This window comes from Homo sapiens, chromosome 3, assembly GCF_000001405.40.
Source record: "Homo sapiens chromosome 3, GRCh38.p14 Primary Assembly".
Lineage (NCBI taxonomy): Eukaryota > Metazoa > Chordata > Mammalia > Primates > Hominidae > Homo > Homo sapiens.
Genome location: NC_000003.12, coordinates 127,660,210 through 127,681,301, shown reverse-complemented (window position 1 = coordinate 127,681,301; position 21,092 = coordinate 127,660,210). Strand labels below are relative to the sequence as shown.

Here is a 21,092-nt window from a genome sequence, read left to right as displayed (position 1 = left end):
TCCCTTGGCCCCTGCAGCTTACCTTCCCATAATAAGGTAGCAGCCCCTGCAGGAAGGGCCACAAGGTCCTCCCTGGGGAAAAGACTGGCACTGGGCTGACAGAAAATGGTCATTTTGGTCCTGGCCCTCTCCTAGAATGAGGCCCACCACAACCAGCATCCATGGAGACAGGGAGGCAGGGAGCCAGGATGGGCCCAGGCCACACTGGGGTCAGTGGCAGATCTCTAGGTCTGCTCAGCCAGGTACCCTGGCCCTTGGGCTCTGGGCCAGCCTCTGCTGGGAGCCCCCAACTCTAGAGCTTCTTTCCTTGGTCACACCAGCTCCACTGGCTCCAGAAGGCCCCACCCTTCCCAAGCTGTACCCCAGGACACAGGCTCATGCTCCCACGGTGCCTTCAAGCTTTATTGCCACACACACTCCCCCAGCCCTTCCTGAATGGCCCTGTGCATGGGAACACCAGCTTAGAGAAGCAATTCAGGGCTAGGCAAGGGCCAGAGGACTGGATTTGGGACTGGGGTGGGTAGGGGGGATCTGGAGAAGGAAAGTGCTAAGACCAAAGCCCACCCCCACCCCAGGTTTCCCTGAGTGGTGTCCACCCCCAGGGTCTTGGGGGCTGGCTTGTGCATTGGGGGGAGGGGGCTCATCCCAAATGGATCCTCCCCTGGGGTCTCCAGGCTCATGGAGGGAAGAGAAGCCCCACTGAGCCCCTCGCACCCCCCATGAAGCCCTCAATGTGCAGGGAGCAGGAAGAAGAGCTGCACACAAACGCATACACATGCTTGTCTCCAAGAGAGCTCCTGGCCCCTGGGGCTGCCCAGCCAGGGGCTCAACAGTCCAGACCGATGGACACGAGCAGGTCCTCGAGTGCCCGCAGACGCTGCTGCGCCTCCTCTATGGCGCTGTAGGTCTGCACCGTGCTGGCCACGTGGAAGCGGATGTCGTCCACCAGCGGGATAGAGTCCGTCTCCTGCCGGGCTGCCACAGCCGCTGCCTCCTCCTTCACCGCCTCCACGAAGTCCTCCCGCTCCACCAGCTATGAGCGGGAAGGGCCAGCTCAGTGGAGGGGTGCCTGCCCTCTCACCCCTCCTTCCCACCCACTGCAGACCACTGGCCCACCTTCTCAATGACCTTGGCCATGTACTCAGTGCACTGGTCCTCAAGCCGCGCCAGGCGGAAGAGCTTGGCCACGCGCCACACACCCACCACAGTGTCCTCGTCTAGCATCTGAGCCAGGCTGCGGCCGCACAGCCTCTTCAGGCCTGGCAGCAGGTACATGTCGGCGACGCTCAGCACATCATAGGCTGCCTCGGGGGACAGCTGCAGTGAAGACAGGGATGAAGGTGCCCCCCGAGGTCACCAAGGGCTCCCAGGGCACAACAGCCAAGGCTAGGGCCTGTGGTGGTTGGGGGGCACTGGCGGGAAGGCTTCCAGTGGGAGTAGGAGCTCCCTGCGCATGTATGGGGTTGGGGGTCGGGGGGCTGGCCCAGATTCCCACAGGGATCTGCAGGACCGCTAGGGGGCAGAAGACTGGGGGGTTCTCCCATGCCCTGAGCAGGCTGGCAGGGCAGGCGGGAGGCAGGGCCCTCGCAGGAGCCAGGGTCTGAGCTCCGAGTTATACAGACCTGGGTCTGACACTTCTAGCTGTGGGGCCCTGGGCAAGTCACTGCACCTCCCTGTGCCTCTAGTTCCCAGTCCATGAGGTATAGATAACCATGCCTACCTGCGGGGGCTGTCAGAATGGTGGGACAGAGGCAGCTAGTCAAGACCTATGCAGGGACTCTGCCAGGGGTGGGAGACTATCTACCAGCTCCCTCCCTCTCAAGAGGCTGTGGGGACACAGAGCCCACCTACAGATACATCCTGTGCTGGATAAGACTGAAGCCCTCAGATTCAGGCCAGAGCCTGGGTGGCACAGGGAGCAAGCTGCAGACAGAGACAAGGGGAGCTCTGCGACCACATTACAAGCCATGTGCCATGTGCCATGCCACCTCCTTTACCTGGGTAACCCATGCATCTGCACAAGGCCTTAGGAAGTGACGACGAGAGCTATCCCCATGTTCTAGAGGCACAGAGCAGTTAAGTAACTGGCCCAAGATCACAAAGCTCACCCAGTGTCACACAGCTCAACCAGTATCAACCCAGGTTAAGAGCCCAAGCCACACTCTGAGACAAGGTGCCCTTTGGGTGGCGAGGCTCCTTGAAGAGGGAGCTTCTCCAGGGTGGGCAAAGGTAACCCCTGCTACAGGGGCCAGAGAGCTGGGCTGAGCTGCAGGAGATGCCCAGTAGAGGGGGTGGGAAAGATGGAGGCTGAGGGGCTGTCAGGCCGCGCGGAGGGATGGACAAGGGAGCTGCCACTGGAGATAGAGCAGCAGTAGGGACTGCCCTCTGTCTCCCAGCATGCTTCCTCCCCTTCCCCCACAAAACAGGGCCCTGGCCACAGAATGACTTTCCAAGCCTCCCTTGTTGGCAGGTAGGCACGAAGTTCTCTCCAGGGGAACATGAGAAGTGGTGCAATTTCCGGTGGCTTCTACAAAAACAGCATTGCTTGCCCTGCCTTCCTCTTCCTCCTAGAGCATGAGTTTGCCTAGGACCCAATCTCCATGGCCAAACGCGATGCCCCAGGCAGGATGGGTAAGCTACGGCCTGTGGACCAAATCCAGCCTGTTTGTGCAAGTAAAGTTTTATTGGAATGCAGCCTCACCCACTCATCTCTGTACTGTCTCTGGCTACCTTTGCGCTACAGAGTTGAGTAGCTACAACAGGGCCATATGGCCCACAGAACCTGAAACACTCACCTTCAGAGAAAAGGTTTTTGACCTTCACCCTTAGGCATACAGGGGCAAGATGGAGGGATGACCTGATCTTCCGCAAGCCACTTGCCCTGGGGCACCCACCTCAGTCAGAAGTGAAGGAGAAACAAACTCCCCTCTTCTTTAAGCCACCAGATATGGGGATTGCTTTATAGTGCGCGCGCACGCGCACGCACACACACACTCTCTCTCTCTCTCACACACCCTGGCAGAGCAAACCTTCAGCACTCTGCTGCTGCCCTGCAGCCTTGGCTTACGGACACCTTGGGGCAGCTGGAGACAGAGGCAGGCAGCAAGGGAAGAGGAGACTGGGAACCCAGAACCCCAGGGATCTGCAGCACCACAGAGAGGAGGCTGTCCCCACCCACCCTCCACCCTCCTGCTAGAGAAGCTGAGGATCCCAAGTGGCTGACAAGTGTGGAGTGTCTGTGACACAGGCTCATCACTCATCCTCTCTCTGGAGCCCAACAAGGCTTCCTCTACCTGAAAGAAAAATCCAAAGTCCCACAGCCTTCCCCTCCAGCCTTCTCAAAACGTCAACCATGGGGCCAGCTGGGCCCTTCCACAGACCCCCAGGGCCCTGGCGCTCCCTCTCAGCCCACGGCAGCACAGGTTGTGTGCCATCCCCAGCTCTGCCTGAGCCCCCACCTCAGTGTGGTCGCTGTACATGTAGTAGAGCACGTGAGTGAAGACGTCGGGTGAGATGCCATGCAGGGTGACGGCTGGGGGGCCCCCTGAGGTCGCTGGCTCCTCGCTCTCTCGGAAGTGGTCATCCAGCAGGGCTCGGAAGTAGTCACTGCGGCCACAGAAAAAGGCCTGGGGGAGGCCGGGCTCAGGAAGTGTGAGGGCCAGGGTCTGTCTCCTGAGGAGCTAGACGGGGGCTCAGGGCAACGGGCTGGGGCCAGGGGCAACAGGAGGGCACAGGCACCTTGTGGCAGAGGAAGCTGCAGCCAGCCACTCGGAAGCAGATGTCAGGGCAGCTGTTGAAGCCGTCAGGACAAGGGAAGGGCAGCTCCCAAAGATCACCCTGGGGTACAGAAGAGGTGACCCCATCAGAGCAGTTGTTCACAGAAGTGAACGACTAGGTTCAGAAAAGGGAAGTAACTGGTCCAGGACCACACAAGGAATTGAGCCCAAGTATCTGGGCTGCCTGTCACGGCCTGCCATCCCAAAACGCCCTTCCTGCCCACCAGCCCCGCACTTACTCGGAGCTCGGGGGGCAGGGCACAATCGGCCAGCAGCGCCATGTCCTCCCGGAGGCGGGGGTCTGCAGGTGGGGGCTCGATGGTCAGCACCTTCACACACGTGCCTGGCTTAGACGCCACTACAGGGGAAGAACAACTTCAGGGAGCCAGGCCAGCCCTGCCAGGCCGCACCCATGGCCCCGGGCCCCAAACCCTGCTCGCACCAAACTCAGACACCTTCTCGCACTTGGCCTCCAGGTCGCTGAGCAGGTCCCACAGCTGGCATTGCTTGGCCAGGCGCTCACAGTCACTCACATGCTCTACGCCAATGTCCAGGCGGCCTGGGGGCAGTGGGGAGGATGAGGGCCTGCGGGACCTCAGCTGTCATCAGGCCCACAGAAAAAGGGTGATCCCCTCCCACCTGGCCACCTGGCTGCAGGACTAGGACTCCTGGGCCCACTTGCCACCATGGTTTCCCCATCAAAAGCTGTTCTACAGGCCCCAGGGAACAGATGGGAGGGCCTCAGCATGTGGGTGGGACAAGCTCTTCCTGAGCAGGCACACTAGTCCTCTCTCTTGCAACCCAACCCGAGAGGCAGCTGGAACCACCCCGGGGGGACCATGAAGTGTCTAGAGGTGAAAGGTCAGCCCAGCCACACCTAGGTGTACTGCTGTCCAGAAGGACGGCCCACTCCCTCTCCTCCTACCCTGGACCCAGGGGGTCACCTGTGTACAGGTACTGCAGCAGGGCCCCAAAGGCCACGGGGTTGATCTGTGGGCAGAAAACCAGAAAGTAATGTCAGAGGCAGCCACCCAGCACAACCTCCTGCTGTTCCTGGACAGTTCATGCCCCTCTGCCACCCTGAAGGGACATACCAGTGGGTGCCTGAGAACCACGACACTCTTGCCCTTCCATTTGGTGTCCAGCATGTTGGCAAAGTAGGCACTACGTGCACCCAGGACGCAGCGATGCACCCGGAATGGCTTCCCGTGTACTACAAAGACCACGTCACTGTGGATGCCCTGCTCTAGAAGCCTGGGGAGGGACAAGCCAGGAGGGAGGATACTTGGCACAGCCCCACCCCATTCCTCGGAGCACTCAGAACCCAGTGCAGGCCACAGTCAGAGCAGACTCGCCACACCCACCAGGGCCACCGCACCCCATGCTGCACCCCTCGTGTGCCCTGGCTCACCGCTGCAAGAAGTCGTCATAGTAATCCCGCCTCCTGCAGGAAGCCGTGACCTGCTTGTAATCGCGTAGAGCCCGGCGGATGGGGTCACTCAGTGCCCCATAGAGGCAGCGCTCACCATCGAAGGTGTTGGCCTCGCAGCGGGCTCCTGGGGGAGGCAGGGCTCACCAGTTAGCAGGGAAGGGGCCTGGGGGAAATTCTAATCTCCCTGTCCCTCCTCCCCACCTTCCCACACATGGGGCTCCGAATCTCTGGCGATGCCTTCCCAAATTACCCTGGGCCCACTCTGACCCCAACACCCTCCCAGTCAAGGGCTAGGCGAATGGGCACGTCTGTGTGCACTCACACAGGCACATACTCACTCACACGGAAGACAGACAACACAGAACGGAGAGCTGACTTGGTGGCTGGGCTTGTCCCACACACTGGAGCACAGCAGTGAACGAGACACAGGTCCCTGTCCTGCTGAACTTATACTCTAGTGAGGCAGGACAATCAACCCACTACCTAACGATGGCAGGGACTATTAAGAAAAACAAGCCTGGGCGTGGCAGCTCACACCTATAATCCAGGCACTTTGCGAGACCAAGGTAGGTGGATCACTTGGGCTCAGGAGTTTGAGACCAACCTGGGCAACATAGTGAGACACCATCTCTGCAAAAAAAATACAAAAACTTGCCGGGCGTGGTGGTGCACGCCTGTAGTCTCAGCTATTTGAAGATTTGAAGGGGCTGAGGCAGGAGGATCACTTGAGCCTGGGAGGTTAAGGCTGCAGTGAACCGAGATCACACTACTACACTCCAGCCTGGGTGACAGAGCAAGACTCTGTCTCCAAAAAAAAAAAAAAAAAAAAGAAAAAACCAAAATAGGAAGAAGAATGGCACTGAATGAAGGGAAGTCATGAAAGGTCACTCTGTAATGGTGGCAGCATGCAGAGACCTGAATGAAGGGGGAGTGGGCCATGTGAACGTTTGCAGAACGGCAGTCCATGCAGGAGGAACTGCAGGTGCAAAGGCCCTGGGGCAGGAACAGGGGCATGCATAGCACAGTGGAGCCCCAGCGAGGCCAGTGTAGCAGCAAGCAAGCAGCAAGCAAGCAGGGAGAGCCGAAGGAATGAGGCCAGTGGGAGGGCAGACCCTGTGGAGCCTTGGGCATGGCCAGGCAGGCTCACTGTATCCTAGAGGCAATGGGAACTTGCTGGAGGATTTTTAGCCGATCAGATTCATTGTGAAAAGATCAACTTGGCTGCAATGGCAAGAGAGAGGCAGGCACCGTGTCCGGGGAGAAATGCTGATGACTGGGCCCAGGTCGTAGAAGTAGAGATGGGCAAGGTGGACAGAGAAAAGGTTTTAAAGTAGCAATAATAGTACTTGCTGATTCGACTGGGTGGTAAGAGAGGAATCGTGGTGCTTTGCAAATGTGTATCAAGGCCTTTGAATGCACGCACGCATGCATGCACCCACACGCACACATGCATGCACCCACGCACACCCGTGAGCCGGGCTCCCTGCTCTCACCATTGGCCAGAAGGTAGAGTACCAGCTCCTCGTGCCCACACAAGCAGGCATAGTACCTGAAGGGAGGAAGGAAGTACAGGAGGCAGTCCTCAGTGCTGAAGGGGTGCACCAACCCCCACCCTCCCCACCCCTCTCTCCAGCACTCACAAGGGGGTGCTGTCCCACTTGTCCCGCACATTCACCTCCACGTCTCGCTGCTCCAGCAGGTACCTGGGCAGGAAGGAGGTCAGAGCCTGGGTCAGGACGGGTTCATGGTCTGAGAAAGAAGGCCCGTGGAAAGGAACGGAGAGAAAACATCCCTTTTGGTATGGGGAAGCCTCCCCCAGGTGAGGGCAGGTGACAGGCAGACCAGAGCAGGAGAGGCACTCAAGGCAAAGTGCAGGCAAGGATGTGGAGGTGGGGTCGAACAGGCAGACACTGTGTGCTATCAGTGCTGGGGGACGATGGGCTACAGGGACAGAAGCCAGAGCCAGTGCCGAGGCTGGACCTTTGGCCTTTCAGCGTTTGGGAGAGGAGGTGATGGAGCCTTCACTCCCACCAGAGCTCTCTACTGCAGGAAGAAGCTGGCCCTGTTAGAAGCAGGGAGCCCGGGAAAAAGCTGCTGCAGGCCTCCTGATGGTGTGGAGGGCACACAATTCTAGGAGGCAGGAGTCGCGGGATACAGCAACTGATGGGATGCGGAAGGTGAGCGAGGGGAGTCGCCAATGCTAATGCAGCCCCACTGAGGCGGGGGCAGCCCAAAGGAGGCCTCCAGGCTGCACCTGGAAGTGCTGTGAACCCACTCAGCGTTGACACTATGCACTAACTCTTGAGTGGCACGGGATGTCAGGGAGCGGCCCAGGGAGGCTACGGGAGTACAGCAGCCCGGCGCCAGCCCAGGGGAGGTGGAAGCAGTCAGTCAGCACCAGGTCAAGGGGGAGGAAGGGCCAAGAAAAAAGGAGGTCAAACGGGATAGTGGAAGCCCAAGGAGGGGAAGGGCCCCAGAACCCAACTGGGCACCCCTTCCCTCCGCGTCCGGCCCATGGAGGGGGCATCTCAGCGCCAGATTCACTTTAGCTGCGTCAGGAGTTTCCGAATCCTCAGGGACCGGAGGCCGATTATGGGCTCTAGGTGTTCCCCGCGCCAGGTCCAGAGAGCACGAGAGAAAGGGGCCACGTCTGGAGTCCCAGGCCTATACCCGCGCCCTGCGCCCGGGGGGTCTGACGTCCGGGCCCTACCAGGGCGAACAGTGGCCCGCCTTCTCTCCGCCCACTTCTGCGCCTTCGGGCCTCCGCTGAGCAGTCCCTTCTTACAGGAAGCCCTCCGGGGGTCAATGGCCATCAGTGTCCCCGCCCCAGCGCGCTTCCGCTGGGGGGCTGCGGCGGGGGTCCGGGTGGTCTGCCCCGCGGGGGCGCTCCGAGGGCTGTGACCCGGCAGAGGCGCCCGCCTCTCCGCGGCCGCCCAGCCGCCCGTCCCAGGGCCCGAGGCGTTCCGAGGGCGGCCACCTCCCGCACCCTCCCCGGGACTGCGAGGTCCTCACCGCACTCGGCCCACATCCCCCTTCCTGCAGCTGGCGAACAGGTCGCTGGTGTCCATGGCGCGGAGGATGGTACCCGAGCCGAACGACCTCGGGCGGCGAAGCCGCGCACCCGGCGGATGTAAACACGCTCAGCCCCGCCCCGCCCCGCTCTGCAGCGGCGTCCGGAGGACCCGCCCGCCCCGGCCTCCCCGCCCCGCGGCCCCGCCCCTGCCCCGGGGTGCCCCGCCCGCCCCGCCCCGCCCCAACCCCGGAAATAAGAATGAGTCAAGAAGGCAGACGCGCTGGGCCCGGCGTGGTCTCCGGGCGGGTTTAATTGAGTCCCGGGGCGCAGGAAGCGCCGCCCGCCGCCCGCGGGGCCGGGGTTCAGGGGCGGGAAAGCGGGGCCAAGGCGGGCTTTGAGGCCTGCCCCTCGGGCGGGAGTGAGGGAGTTGGTCCGAAGCCGCCGTGTGAAGTCGGGGGAAGCGGGAAGGAGCCCGCGCCGAGGGCCAGGCCGCGGGGGCGGCCCGGGTAGGCGCGGGGCTGGTGCGGGCTCCGGGCCGTCCGTTTCGGGGTCCACCTCGCTTGGTCCTGGCGGCCCACTCGGCCTGCGCCTCGGCTGCGCTCACAGGTGCGTGTCCTCCTCGAACACGTCCGAGTCCTCGGGGTCCCGCTTGCCCCCCATGAGCGCCCCCCAGCTCCCCGGGCCGTTGAGGGCCCCGCCGCCGTTCAGGCTGGGGTGCTTCTCCTGCATCTCCGACTGGCTGTCGCTGGCCACGTCCAGCGTGGGGTTGTCGTGGCAGCCGTTCTCCACGAAGCGCAGCTCCTCGCCGTGCGACTGAGGCGGGGTGGGGAGAGGCCATGGGCGAGCGAGCCAGCCCCCGGACAGCGCCAGGCCCGCGGCCGTCTGTGCAACCCCACCCAGGGGGTTCCCGCGGCACCCTCCACAGGTGCCAGATCCTTCTTTTCTGTTGCTGCAGCTCAACTCCTTTCTCAAAATAAACCTACTAGTCGTTGGCACTACAAAGCCCCGTGGCCTCCCTGACGTCATCGATCCCCCAACAGCCCCCTAAGAAGACTCCACTTGCGAGGTGGGCAGGGAGCATCGCTAGGGCTCTGCTCGCTTCCTCCTGGGGAGGCCTCTAGGCTGCTGGAGCCTCTCCTTGATCCTTGGGCACCACCAACGCAGGGCCTGCCTCTGGTGAGGTATTCAGGTGCTCAGGCCCTGCAGTGCCTGCGCCGGAAAGGGGCTGGTGGTGCCAGGGAGGGGCCCCCTGGTGGGGCTAGCAGCCCCCTCACTCCCTGCACCTCTGGCACCTGTCCTGGGGCTGGTGCCCTGCAGAGCAGTCAGCAGTGCTAGGCTGACCAGCTGCTTCACCCACGGGACCCTGTGCGCCCAGGAGAGTCACTGCCTCCCCTTGCAGATGAGGACACCTATCGATGGGCACTCTCCTCTCAACTGGCCCCCAGCCCCACCTGTCCCCACACTCACCACGTGCTTGAGCTTGGGCAGCCGGCGCTGCCAGCAGTTGTAGAGCAGGCCAAGCGCAATGATGATGATGCAGATGGCCCCAATGACCACCAGCACCACGAAGAGCGTGCCGTAGTCGCTGCGCACCTGGCTGGCCCGCGCCTGGCAGCTGCTGGTTGTGGAATAGTTCTGGATGCCAATCTAGGGGTGGGAGGGGCCAGTTTCCTCAGCTGAGGTCCTGGGGTGCCATGGCTCCTCTGGGGTGGTTGCATTGGGCTCGGGTGGGGATGGGGGAGCAGGCTTAGAAGGTGCTGGCACTCCCGGCTCCTGAAGTTCCCTGGCGCCTGGGCTTGCCTCTACCCCATGCCCATCCCGTTTGCCTCAGTACACCTGGAGGCCTCTCCACCCCATGCCCATGTTCCCAGCCTCCTTCACATCCCACCATAGCTTCTGCCCCAGCCGCTGAGTCTGAGCTCACTGTGGCCCTAGGCCTCCAGTGAGAGTGGACCCATGCTGCTGGACACCATCCAACTAGAGAGAGTGCCCACACCTATCCTAACTAGTTAGAGAGACAGGAGATGTGAGCCCCCCACACATCCTCCACCATACAACCGCTTCCACCTCGGTGGGGAGGGGTGGACCAGTCAGCTTCCTGATGCCAGGGCCGGTGCAGGGAGGGATACTGAGGGCATGCAGGCCACATGGGGGGCCACCCCGGCTGCCCAGCTTCCTCCCTTCCCATGGCGTGTTCACTGCTGGCATGTAGCTGCCTGCATCCCTCCACGCTGCAGGTTGTCATGGTCAGTCCTGCCTTCTCTGGCCAAGGAGATCGGCGCCAGGGGCCAGGCAGGTGCTATCTCCACAGATCAGCATCTTAGCAGAGAGAAGCAGGAGGGCGAGCACCACCAGGGGCTCCTCAGGTGAGGGATCAGGGCAGTTCCCAGTGCTGAGGCCTAGGTTGCACCAGGCCCCCTTTCTGAGTTCAGGTTGCAGCTCTTCCCCGGTTTCTGTGAACCACCCGTGTATCTCCAGTACTTTTCTCAATTTTTTGTTATCAAGGGTCAGTTTTTCTTGCTAGATTCACCTGAGTATATTTCCAAAGACCCAGCATGACTTTTGGCCAAGTCAGTGTGAATTAAGTGACCAGTAACGCCAGAATACTCAGGGGCAGCGAAAAGCAGGGGGAGGACTGTATAAAAGGTCAAGGTTAGCCCACACTTCCACCAGCAGCCCCACTGTTCATGGACCCACGATTCCAGAACTGGGAAGGGCCTCAGTGGCCCTCCAGGCAGTAGAGCAGTGTGGTGAAAGGCCCGGGCTCCGGAATCAGGCTTCCTGCAAAGCCTGGCTCTACCGCTTACTGCTGGTGCCATCTCAGACAGGTCACCTAACCTCTCCCGCTTCAGCTCTCATCTTCCATGGGGACACCATTGGTACTCAACAGGTGCCTCACTTAACCCTCACAACCCCATGGGGTGGTGGCGAGGACTGAGGGAGAGAGCCTTGCACAGTGTGGTGCTCAGTGGGCATTCGACATGCTCACCAGAAAAGCACCACCACCAGGGCCTCTGCTCCCCTGGCATGCAAGGATGAAGAGGCGGCCAGCATTATACCACTCATCTCTCCTGCCAAAAATGGCAGCACCTTCGGGAGTGGAGAGGGCTGATGACAGGGCACTGGACTCTACAGTGAGCAAAGGCAGTTTTGGTGGAGATGGTGGCTGTCCTCAAGAAGTGAGATGAGGAACAGAAGGACCCCATAGGCAAGGTGGTGTGAGGAGCAGGACTGGGGGACCCTGCCATCCCATCCAAGCTTGTGCGGCAGCTGGGTAGGAGAGGTTGATCGGGATGGGCCAGGCAGCCAGCAGACTGCACTGGGTGGGGGCACCTCCTAAGATGGCAGGGCTGCCTCCTGGCCCCCAGGCGCCGCATCTCACCGCAGCAGGAGCGCAGGGCCTGGCCGTGCAAGCACCAGTAGATTCACACGTCCACGCCAAGTCACATGTCCAGGTCTCCCAGGCTTGCTCTTTTGGTTTCTGGAACCCATCATGCTCGCCCCTCCCACCAGGCAGCATGGTGTCTCTGCCACTGTCTACCCAGAAAACTCCCAGTTAACCCTCACTGCTCCCCAGACCCTTCCTCTCTGGGCCCTCTCCTGACTGTCAGCCTCTTAGCACAGCCCCCACACCCCCATGGCCCCTTTCTGCCCCTGGCCATTGCCTGCATTGGACCTTTGGTTGGTAGCATGCACATGCACCGTCTTTCCCACAAAACCATGTCTAAGGGAGGCCTGAAGCAAGGAACCTGCCCAGAGCACGCTCTGTCTTATACTCCTTTGAACCTCACGATGTGGGCAGACTCCTGGGACTTTGAGGAACAGAGACAGGAGGGAGCATATTAGAAGCTAACAGGTCCAGGTCCCTGCACTCTTACCTCCTCCAGGCTCCTGCGGATGTCACCCAGCATGGAAAGGACATCTTGAGTGGGCACCACCCCTGGGGGGTAAGAAACACCACTATCAGTGTGACCATGGCTGAGGTGCGTGCCCCTCCAAGGGCTCTGGCCCCGCTCTCCAACAGCTGGCCTGAGCCTCTGTCTCCCTTCCTGGCTCAAATTGCACACAGATCCTCAAGGCACATGCCTCCCCCTCTCTTAGACATGCTTTCCACTGCATCGATCTGTTAGAACATCGATTTGTATAACACCAGCCAGCCACTTGCGAAGCCCACACACTGCCTTCTGAACACACCCCTTCTCCCCTGCCACACCAGGTACAGTGTCCATTCATCTCCCACCTGTGCTGGACCACACCTGTTCCCCTGCCTCCTGTTCCCCATCCTTAATTCTCACACCCTCCTCCTTGTCCCCAGAACCCAAGCTGGTGGGTACACCTTGACCACTAAGCTAAGTAGCTCAAACTACTGTCCTGGAGTTCCAAGTTTCAAAGCCCTTATGCGTGCACTTTTTTCCCGTGACCCTCAGGGGCCGCCCGCCTCCCACTGCCCTCCTGGGCCCTCCCATCACCTGCCCTCGCTCACCCTGCTCGCCCACCAGTGTCATGAGAAGGTGCTGCTCCTTCTCGCTGGGCTTGCTCAGAGAGATGTGCCAGGCCCCATGGTGGCCACTGCCATGGCGGGGCAGCACCTCTTCCACCAGGGCCAGGAGCTGTGGCCCCCGGTGCTGCCGGAACACCTCCTACAAGGGCAGAAAGAGCCCCCCGTGTTCAGTGAAGGAAAGGGGCTCTACTGAGCCCTCTGCCTCTAGGCCCAGCCCCGTACTCACCCTCAACCCTCTGGCTGTTCCAAGAGAGGCAGCTCTGGTCAACTCTGGAGACCCTCTGAGAGCTGCAAGCCAGGGAATGTGGGAACCCCAAGATGTACACCCATTTGTTCACTTACACCAGGTGCTCCTTCCTGCCCTGGCCTCTAGCCATGAGAAAGTCAAGGGGCCTGTCCCAGAGACACATGCAGTTGAGCGGGGCGGGGGCTGGGGACACACACACACACACACACACACACACACACACACACACACGCAGCCATGTACAGTGACAAGCCCAGAAACTGGGTACACAGAGTGGTAAGGCCTATGGGAGAACTGCTCCCTGTGCCTAGTGCTCAAGTGCATGGTGCTGGGGATGAACACATGGGCGGGTGGGAGTGGTGATGGCCAAAAGAGGTGTGCACCATGTAACTACCAAAAATCGGGGAGGGCCAGAAGTGGCAGAACGCGGCTCTCCTCTCGCCTGTCATCGCAGAGATGCAGCCCCAAGCTGTTGAGTGGGGAAGCCATCTGTGTGCTCTTGTGTAGGCGGTGGAGGCCAGAAGAGCAAACACAGAGATGGGAACCGCAGCCCCTGGAGCTGGGCTGGAACAGAGGGAGGGGTGTGAGGAGACCTTTTCTCATCGTGCACTCGCTTGTATTGTGAGGTTTTCTTGACCATGTGTACGTGTAATTCCACAATTTAAAACAAAAATAAGAGCCTGGCCTTAAACAGAAACTCAACGAATGGCAAGAGCCCAGGCTGGGGCACAGGCCAGAACCCTGCCTCCTGGTTCACATCCTGCCATTTGTCCCTGCCCAGCCCCATCTAGGAAGATACCCTCCTTTGGCCCTGTGGCCACTCCTCACTCCGGCTCCTCCCCAGCAGCCTTCTCCCTCCTGAACATGCACAGTCACACATTCCCTGCTCGTAGCCTCCACAGCCTGCTGCAGATACCCCTCTCCCAGGTGCTCAGCTCTCTCACAGTGCCCTGCTATGCAGCTGAGAGCCAGCGCCACTGGGAGGCACGAGCATCTCACCAGGCCAGCCCTGCAGGATCCCCTGCCACTCCAAATCTCCCTTCTGCTAGAGCCCAGGCTAATGAGCTGTTCCGTAGTTGTCATGCCAACCTAAAGGCTACCAGAGGGATTGAAATGCTGGGCCTCTGTTCTTTGTTACCATGGCAAATGCCAGGCTCAGGCTCAAGCCTTGGCACTCACTGGTCTAATAGCCAGCCAACTGAGTTTTAAATGTGGGAGAAGATGGGTACCTGGAGATGGCCATAGAGCAGATGGAAACCCCTAGTTCTGTGATGGTTCTTACTTTATTCACTGATTGAGTATGGGGGGAGAAGGAGTGCATGCCCGCCCCTGCCAGAGCAAGGGTCCATGCACCATGACCCACAGACCCCTGGTTACAAAACAAGCACTCTCCTGCCACATGAAGTGCCTGCCCTCTGTGCTGTGGCTCTGTGCTCTGCTGTGTTTGCACACCCCATGTTTTCCTGGGTACATATGTCTGCCTGGCTTAAGCCCAGAGACCCACAATGTCAGTGTGGGAGGATCTGATGACTGCAGATTTCATACCACTTATTATGTAGACAGGAAAACTGAATGTCCGTGGCAAGGGGGAAAAGCCCTGACTTTGGAATCAAATAAATCTGGGTTCTGGCCAGGTGCACTGGTTCATGTAATCCCAACATTTGGGAGGCCAAGGGAGGTGGATCACTTGGGCCCAGGAGTTCCAACTCCTGCACAGACAACACGGCAAACTCCGTCTCTACAAAAAATGCAAAAAAATTAACCAAGTATGGTGGTGCACATCTGTGGTCCCAGCTCCTTGGGAGGCTGAGGTGGGAGGATCACGTGAGCCTGGGCAGTTGAGGCTGCAGTAAGCTGACATTGTGCCACTGTACTCCAGCCTGGGTGACAAAAATAAATAAATACATTGGTTCAAATCTTGCTTCTGCCATTTGTCAGCTCTCTGTGATGTCAGCAAAAAAAAAAAAAAAGAAGTACCTCTCTGAGCCTCAGTTTCCCTATTTAAAAACATGGGCAATGGTCCTGACACCCTACCTTACTGTGAATAAGTAAAGTACTTATTCAATCACAGGTGCTGGGACAACTGGATATCCCATGGAAAACAAAAAAAGTTCCTTGATTCATACCTGACATCATTTACCAAAACTAATTCCAGATGGACTACAGATCTAAAGTTTGTAGCAGTAAGCACAGGAGGACATCATCCAGTGGTGATGGATTAGAATTGGAAATACTGAATTTGTACTTTTAATATGTGTACATGCATTATACATGATATATGTATATCTATGCCCTAGAGAGAGACAGAAATAAAGATCCATATTGCTCAGTTCTTCTAGAAGGGCCTAGAAGCAGTGACACCCCAGTAGCCATGAGCACACCTGGGGCCCAGATCTTAGTTTCTAAATACCTTTCCTCATTAAAAGGAAGCAGGACTCCTTGCAGAAATGGCTAAATTGGGGGCTGGGGCAAGGAAAGTCCCATGCAGCCTGGAACATCTTGTAAGCACGTGTGTGGCATGCACTGAGAAACTCTGCAGCCTCAGGCAAAGGACTGGCGCCTCATCACTGTGTCAACGCTGCTTCTTTATCCAGATCTTGATGATCCAGCCCTTTGCATGGAAGCTCTATTTCAGGATTTTCACTAAAGGATGATCCACATATTTCTCCTCCTTGTCCTTATCCTCTAGCACTTCTCTCTGTTGTGCTAGACAAAGGATCAGATCCTTGCATCTCTACAGTAAGGATTTCTTTTGCCTTCTAGAACTCAAAAACACCACCTCTGGATTTCCTGTTTTATCTTTCTTCCTCCTCTCATGTTTCCTTCTTAGACTTCTTTCCAGTTTCTTCTATGTTACCTGTGACATCTAGGTAAAATAGAAGCCACTGAGCCTGCATCACTTTCTCTAGATCTTGAGGGCTGAACTCCTGGAACTCCTGTAGTTCCATCGTGTAAAACTTTCCACAAGAGACTGCCAGCACTTTTCTCCCTGTCTTTTTCTGAATATGTAGTCTCTGTATAGCCCATCAGTTTTTATGCACATTTATTCCTTTCATTTTTCAAATAAGTCAAGGTCATTAAATGCAAAGAAAGGCCGAGGAACTATTCCAGATTAAAGGAGACTAAAGAGACAAGACAAATAATGTGATGCATGACCATGGATTATATCCCGGCATGGGAGGGAAGAAGGCTATAAAGGACATTATTGGAACCATGGTGAAATTGAAATAAGGTAGGTAATCAGATAATAGTTTTGTAGCAGTGCTAATTCCTGATTTTGACCATTCCATTGTGGTTATCTAAAAGAATATTCTTGTTCTGAGGAAACACAAACTAATGTATTTGGGGGTAGGGGCAAAAGGAAATAATGTCTTCAACTTTTTCTCAAATGGTTTGAAAAAATTCTAACAAGTGGTGAATCTGGCAAAGAAACTAATAAGTATGTTGATAAAATATAGTAAGCATTGACTGTTAATAATAATGACTAATGCTCAACATCACCAATCATCAGGGAAAATGCAAATCAAAACCACAATGAGACCATTTAGGTTGGTGCAAAGGTAATTGCGGGTTTTGTCATTACTTTCAATGGCAAAAACCGCAATTACTTTTGCACCAACCAAATACCTCACTTCTCTCAGGATGGCCACTGTTTAAAAAAACAGAAAAGAACAAGTGTTTATGAGGATGTGGAAACACTGGAACCCTAGTGCTGGCGAAAATGTAAAATGGTATACTCATAGCGAAAAACAGTATGGAGATTCCTCAAAAAAATTTAAAATAGAATTACCATATGATCCAGCAACCCCACTTCTGGGTATATACCCAAAATAATTAAAAACAGAGTCTTGAAGATATATTTGCACAGCACATTCCCAGCAGCACTATTCACAATAGCCAAAAGATGGAAGCAATGCAAGTGTCCATGGACAGCTGCATGGATAAATAACATGTGGTATATACATACAATGGAATATTTTTCAGCCTTAAAAAAAAAAAAAGAAATTTCTGCCACATGCTACCAAATGGATGAACCCTGAGGACATTATGCTGAGTGAAATGAACCAGATGTAAAAATGACAAATGTTGTCTAATTCCACTTCTATTAGGTATCCAGAGTAGTCCCATTCATAGAAACCAAAAGGAGAATGGTGGGTGCAAGGAGAATGGTGGGTGCCGGGACTGGGGAACAGGTAGTCATTTAATGGGTACAGAGTTTCAGCTTTGAAAATGAAAAAGTTCTGGGGCTCTGTTCCACAACAATGTGCATATACTTAACACAACTGAACTTATATTTACAAAGGGTGAAATGGAAAATTTTATGTTTTTTACTACAATAAAAAAAATCTACCATAAAAAATAATGATGACTAATTGAGTGGAGGTCACATATTAGAATAACACAGAAGACAAAAACAGGGAAAACAGAATAAAAGCATCTTAATATCTATGTATTGATTGGCAAAAAGATACGAACTTTAGGCTGTATTGTTCAAGTATGCACACCAAAAGTTCAAGGGTCCCAAGTACCCATCTGTGGTCTTCATGTACCATTTCCCAATGAAGGGAATGAGGGCTCCATGTCTGGGGGAGGAAGGTGAGCCTGGAATGTCTTATTATGCCAGAAAGCAAGGAAGCAATCAGACACTTAATAGATTGGTCAAAAGGACTCAGAGGCCAACTCAAAGAGGCTTTCCCTGGCCAAAGATGAGGTATTGAGCATCAGTAAAAATAATAACTGCAATGGATGAAAACACACATCACTTAGGTGAAGATCCATCAGTATAGTGATGGTGGGGGAAACCAACCTTGCTGGGGACTTTTGGATTCAACGCATGCATGTCCCTTCAGTCTTGCCCAGGCCCACTAACAAGAGTAAAGAATTTAAGGCCTAAAACCAGAGACAAAGCAAAACAGAAGAGGAGACAAGAGCAACAAAATCTAGACACTGGAAGCAGATGGTGAGTTAGAATTTCCTAATTTAGCAAACTCTAAAGAGCCAAACCCTAAGCCAAAATGAGGAAAGCTGAGAAGCAATCAGATGCATACTGATTGACACTCCCCAGATGCCCCGGAATAGGGGCCCTGGTTACCTTTGGAAGAGGGGATGAAAATGCTACTAAAAATATGAGCTGGTCGAAAGTTTGCTTAAGAAACGGCTGGGTCCCTAGTTCTTCCCGCAGTGCTGCACAGCCAAGAAATGTCCCTTCTCCCTGGCAGAAGACTGGAAGTTTATTCTTTAAAAAAGATAAAACAGAGGGTCTCTGACCTAGAGAGCATCAGACACAAGTGTGTGTTTTGGGGAGGGAGAAGGTCACTCTGCAAACAGGAAGAGACAGTACATGAATATTGATATTTATGGATACATATTTATAATACTGAAACACCCAGCCCTCTCTCTCCACCCCAGCTCCCAGAACACTGACAACCAACTTGTTATACTTCGAACAGAACAGAAGTTCCCTTTTCAAAGACTCTAATCACCTCAGGAGGAAGGACCTAACAATGCTGCCATTGCAAATTTCTAAGTGATACGGCCCAGCCAGACCACTCTCATGAGAAGCCATAGCTGACAACCCTAGCACTATGCTCAAAGCTTCCAGCCACTTTTTCGATAGAGAGAGCTATGAACAAACTCCACCAGACATGTGTGGAGAGCATGTATATATATGAAAAGGCTGAGACCCAAAACGGAGAAAAGCAACCTATACAGGAAGAAAACAACTCTAAAAAAGACAGAAAGGTTTCAATATCACGGGAGAGGTAAGATGGTGCACACATGAACAAAGTATTCATTTAAATTAAAAAGAGAGGGAAGCAAGAACCAAAGAGCCTTTGGACATTTTAAAATACGAAAGCTCTCTGTGTGTAATGTTGATGGCTGCTGGTATATCCCTGGGCCACCAACTGAAGGACTAAGCCTTCTCCCACGCACTGCTTGTCCCCCCAGCCTGCCCTCTGCCCCACCCTGTCCACTGCCTGCAGCCTTTCCCTGCGGTTCGGAGCCTGGCTGGGCACTCACACAGTCTATGTTCTCTGTCATGTTCAGAATGATGTAGTTTTTCCCAGCCAGATTGCTCCAGTCCTTGCAGATCACCTGTGCGAGGAGACAGAAAGAAGGGCGACAGTTACGAAGGCATAGGAAAGGGACAGGGGAGAGAGCCCCGGTCGGAGGCCTTTTGGGAAGCTGGAAGGTGGAGGCCAGTGGAGGCGTATTACAGCGAGGGGGCTGCTGACAGCCTCTGTGAGGCACCATGCCAAGGAGTACAAACTCGAATGTCTTTGGGGACCAAGCAGGGAATGTATTGAGTGAGAGGAGGAGGCCAGGCATTATTCCCAGGAAGTAGGGGACTATATCAAAGGGGCCAGGCTGCAGAGAGCTTGCCCCACATGCTGGCTTTCAAGGGCAAGTTTATTGTTAATATTCTGGGGCTCCTTTCTTTTCCTTGCGGTGTCAGTGGGTGTGAACACTGACTTGTGCCTGCTATGCACATGGGTGTCGGTGGGGAGGAGGAGGGTGGTGAGATGGGATGGGGAAAGCACAGGTCAGCCACTAGCTCTAGCTGCTGGTAGAATCAGTGCAGAAGTCTAAGTGTGGGCTGGGTGCGGTAGCTAATGCCTGTAATCCCAGCACTTCAGGAGGCCATAGCGGGTGGATCACTTGAAGTCAGGAGTTCCCGACCAGCCTGGCCAACATGGTGAAACCCTGTCTCCACTAAAAATACAAAAATTAGCCAGGCATGGTGGCACATGCCTGTAATCCCAGCTACTCAGGGGGCTGAGGTATGAGAATTGCTTGAACCTGGGCGGTGGAGGTTGCAGTGAACCGAGATCATGCCCACTTCACTCCAGCCTGGGCGACAGAGTGAGACTCCATCTCGGGAAAAAAAAAAAACAAAAGATGTCTAAGGGTGGCAATGGTAACACATGAACAAATGAAACCCAGGCCAGGCCACCAAGTTTCTCCAAAGGCCTTTGCACAGAAGTGTGGGGAGAACACCCATTGTTGGCCCTGAGGTTTGCATCCCCACAAGTTCCATGGGGTTCTACGTGCTGTGGAAAGGGCCTCCCTCCTCAACCTGGCAGATCCTGCCCCCATGCCACACTAGCCCTGGGGATGGCCAGGCTCTGTGAAGAAGGTACAGGGTGGTGGCCCGCATGCCCCTCACTTTACCTGCGTAGAATCCCAGGGTATCCTGGATTGAGCTTCAGCTGCCTGCCCTTCTAGGAGCTGCTGGTTGAGATCTTCTTGTCCCAAGGTAGCAGAGGAAGGTGTCAGTTCCATGTCTCCAGGGGCCAGTGGGGAAGAGGCTGAGGTTCTAGAGCCAAGGGGATCTTCATCTGGGTGCTCGGCCCCACTGGGAGCTGTGGTTTGAGGGAATGAAGGCAAGGCCGGCACCTCCTCGTGCTGGCCAGACAAACCAGCTGCTCCTGCAGTGGCTTCCTCGCTTGCTTCCTGAGGAGCCTCGAACTCTACCCCAAGCCCTGCAGCTGGCAGCACTGTGGCCTCTGCCTCTTGGCTGGTGGAGTCCTGGTCCCCCGGAGTCACTGTAGTTGGGGTGACTGAAGGCAGCAGCAAGCTGGGCCCCATGCTGCTCTCCACCTCCACACCTGATGAGGCCTGGTCCCCGGAGTCTTCATGCCTGCTTTTGGTGGCCCCTGGGGTCTGGCTGCTGCTGGTGAGAGAAAAGTCACGGACCTGAGGCTTGGCTTCTTCTTGGGATCCATTCACAGGGAGCAGCTCCTCCTCTTCCTCCTCCTCTTGTTTCTCTACCTCTTCCTTCTCCCTCTCCTCCTCTTCCTCTTCCTCTTCTTCCTCCTCTCTGGGAGGCATATGCCAGGGAGGCTCAACCAGATTCATCTTGGGCAAGGGAGAGGGGAGGTTTGGCAGCTCTTGAGCCTGGCTGGTGTCTTCAATGGAACCTGCCTTCTCAGTTAAGTCAGGAAAAACATAATCTAAGGACAGAGATGAAAAGTTCATTCACTTGTTTCATCATTCATTGCTTTACTCAGTATTTACTGGGCAGATGGCATAAAAGAACCACAATACACTGACAGGGCAGGGGTCATCAGGTCATGATGGAGAGGCCAGGGGAGCAGACTGTGGGAGGACACAGGGACAAG

At 55.9% G+C, this 21,092-nt stretch overlaps 2 protein-coding genes across 7 annotated transcripts in view, besides 4 other annotated features; both read right to left on the bottom strand.

The window, feature by feature from the left end:
- ABTB1 (ankyrin repeat and BTB domain containing 1) lies at nt 376–8,350 on the bottom strand. 6 transcript variants are annotated; one of them, NR_033429.2, is made up of 12 exons: nt 8,221–8,350; nt 6,884–6,911; nt 6,702–6,757; nt 5,188–5,332; nt 4,871–5,030; nt 4,721–4,766; nt 4,219–4,335; nt 4,016–4,134; nt 3,739–3,837; nt 3,459–3,626; nt 1,117–1,317; nt 376–1,033 (listed from the first exon to the last, which is right to left on the bottom strand). NR_033429.2 is itself a non-coding variant. In XM_006713769.4 (12 exons), the coding sequence occupies exons 1-12, from the start codon at nt 8,234–8,236 to the stop codon at nt 827–829; spliced, it is 1,443 nt and encodes a 480-aa protein (XP_006713832.1). In that variant the 5' UTR covers nt 8,237–8,350; the 3' UTR covers nt 376–826. The 6 variants fall into 6 exon arrangements, 5 of the variants coding, with proteins under 5 accessions (XP_006713832.1, NP_115937.1, NP_742024.1 ...); XM_006713769.4 differs by having other exon boundaries at nt 6,849–6,957; NM_032548.4 differs by having other exon boundaries at nt 6,884–6,957.
- Nucleotides 7,979–8,238: a silencer, noted in NCBI's record as "silent region_14696". NCBI's record gives its function as "represses an Ori minimal core promoter by ATAC-STARR-seq in GM12878 lymphoblastoid cells {active_cell/tissue: GM12878}" and the evidence as "EXISTENCE:reporter gene assay evidence [ECO:0000049][PMID:35858748]".
- Nucleotides 8,379–8,978: a silencer, noted in NCBI's record as "silent region_14695". NCBI's record gives its function as "represses an Ori minimal core promoter by ATAC-STARR-seq in GM12878 lymphoblastoid cells {active_cell/tissue: GM12878}" and the evidence as "EXISTENCE:reporter gene assay evidence [ECO:0000049][PMID:35858748]".
- PODXL2 (podocalyxin like 2) overlaps nt 8,500–21,092 on the bottom strand; it is a 43,618-nt gene continuing 31,025 nt past the window's right edge. The window contains exons 3-8 of the mRNA NM_015720.4: nt 20,143–20,924; nt 18,991–19,065; nt 12,705–12,861; nt 12,100–12,161; nt 9,689–9,868; nt 8,500–9,034 (exon numbers count right to left, since the gene is read on the bottom strand). Of these exons, the coding sequence (NP_056535.1) occupies nt 8,822–9,034; nt 9,689–9,868; nt 12,100–12,161; nt 12,705–12,861; nt 18,991–19,065; nt 20,143–20,924 (1,469 nt within the window). The 3' untranslated portion in view covers nt 8,500–8,821. The remainder of the gene's footprint in view (nt 9,035–9,688; nt 9,869–12,099; nt 12,162–12,704; nt 12,862–18,990; nt 19,066–20,142; nt 20,925–21,092) is intronic.
- Nucleotides 8,989–9,068: a silencer, noted in NCBI's record as "silent region_14694". NCBI's record gives its function as "represses an Ori minimal core promoter by ATAC-STARR-seq in GM12878 lymphoblastoid cells {active_cell/tissue: GM12878}" and the evidence as "EXISTENCE:reporter gene assay evidence [ECO:0000049][PMID:35858748]".
- Nucleotides 13,326–13,507: a silencer, noted in NCBI's record as "fragment chr3:127386638-127386819 (GRCh37/hg19 assembly coordinates)". NCBI's record gives its function as "represses an EF-1alpha promoter that drives an FKBP-Casp9 reporter gene in an ReSE screen in HepG2 liver carcinoma cells {active_cell/tissue: HepG2}" and the evidence as "EXISTENCE:reporter gene assay evidence [ECO:0000049][PMID:32094911]".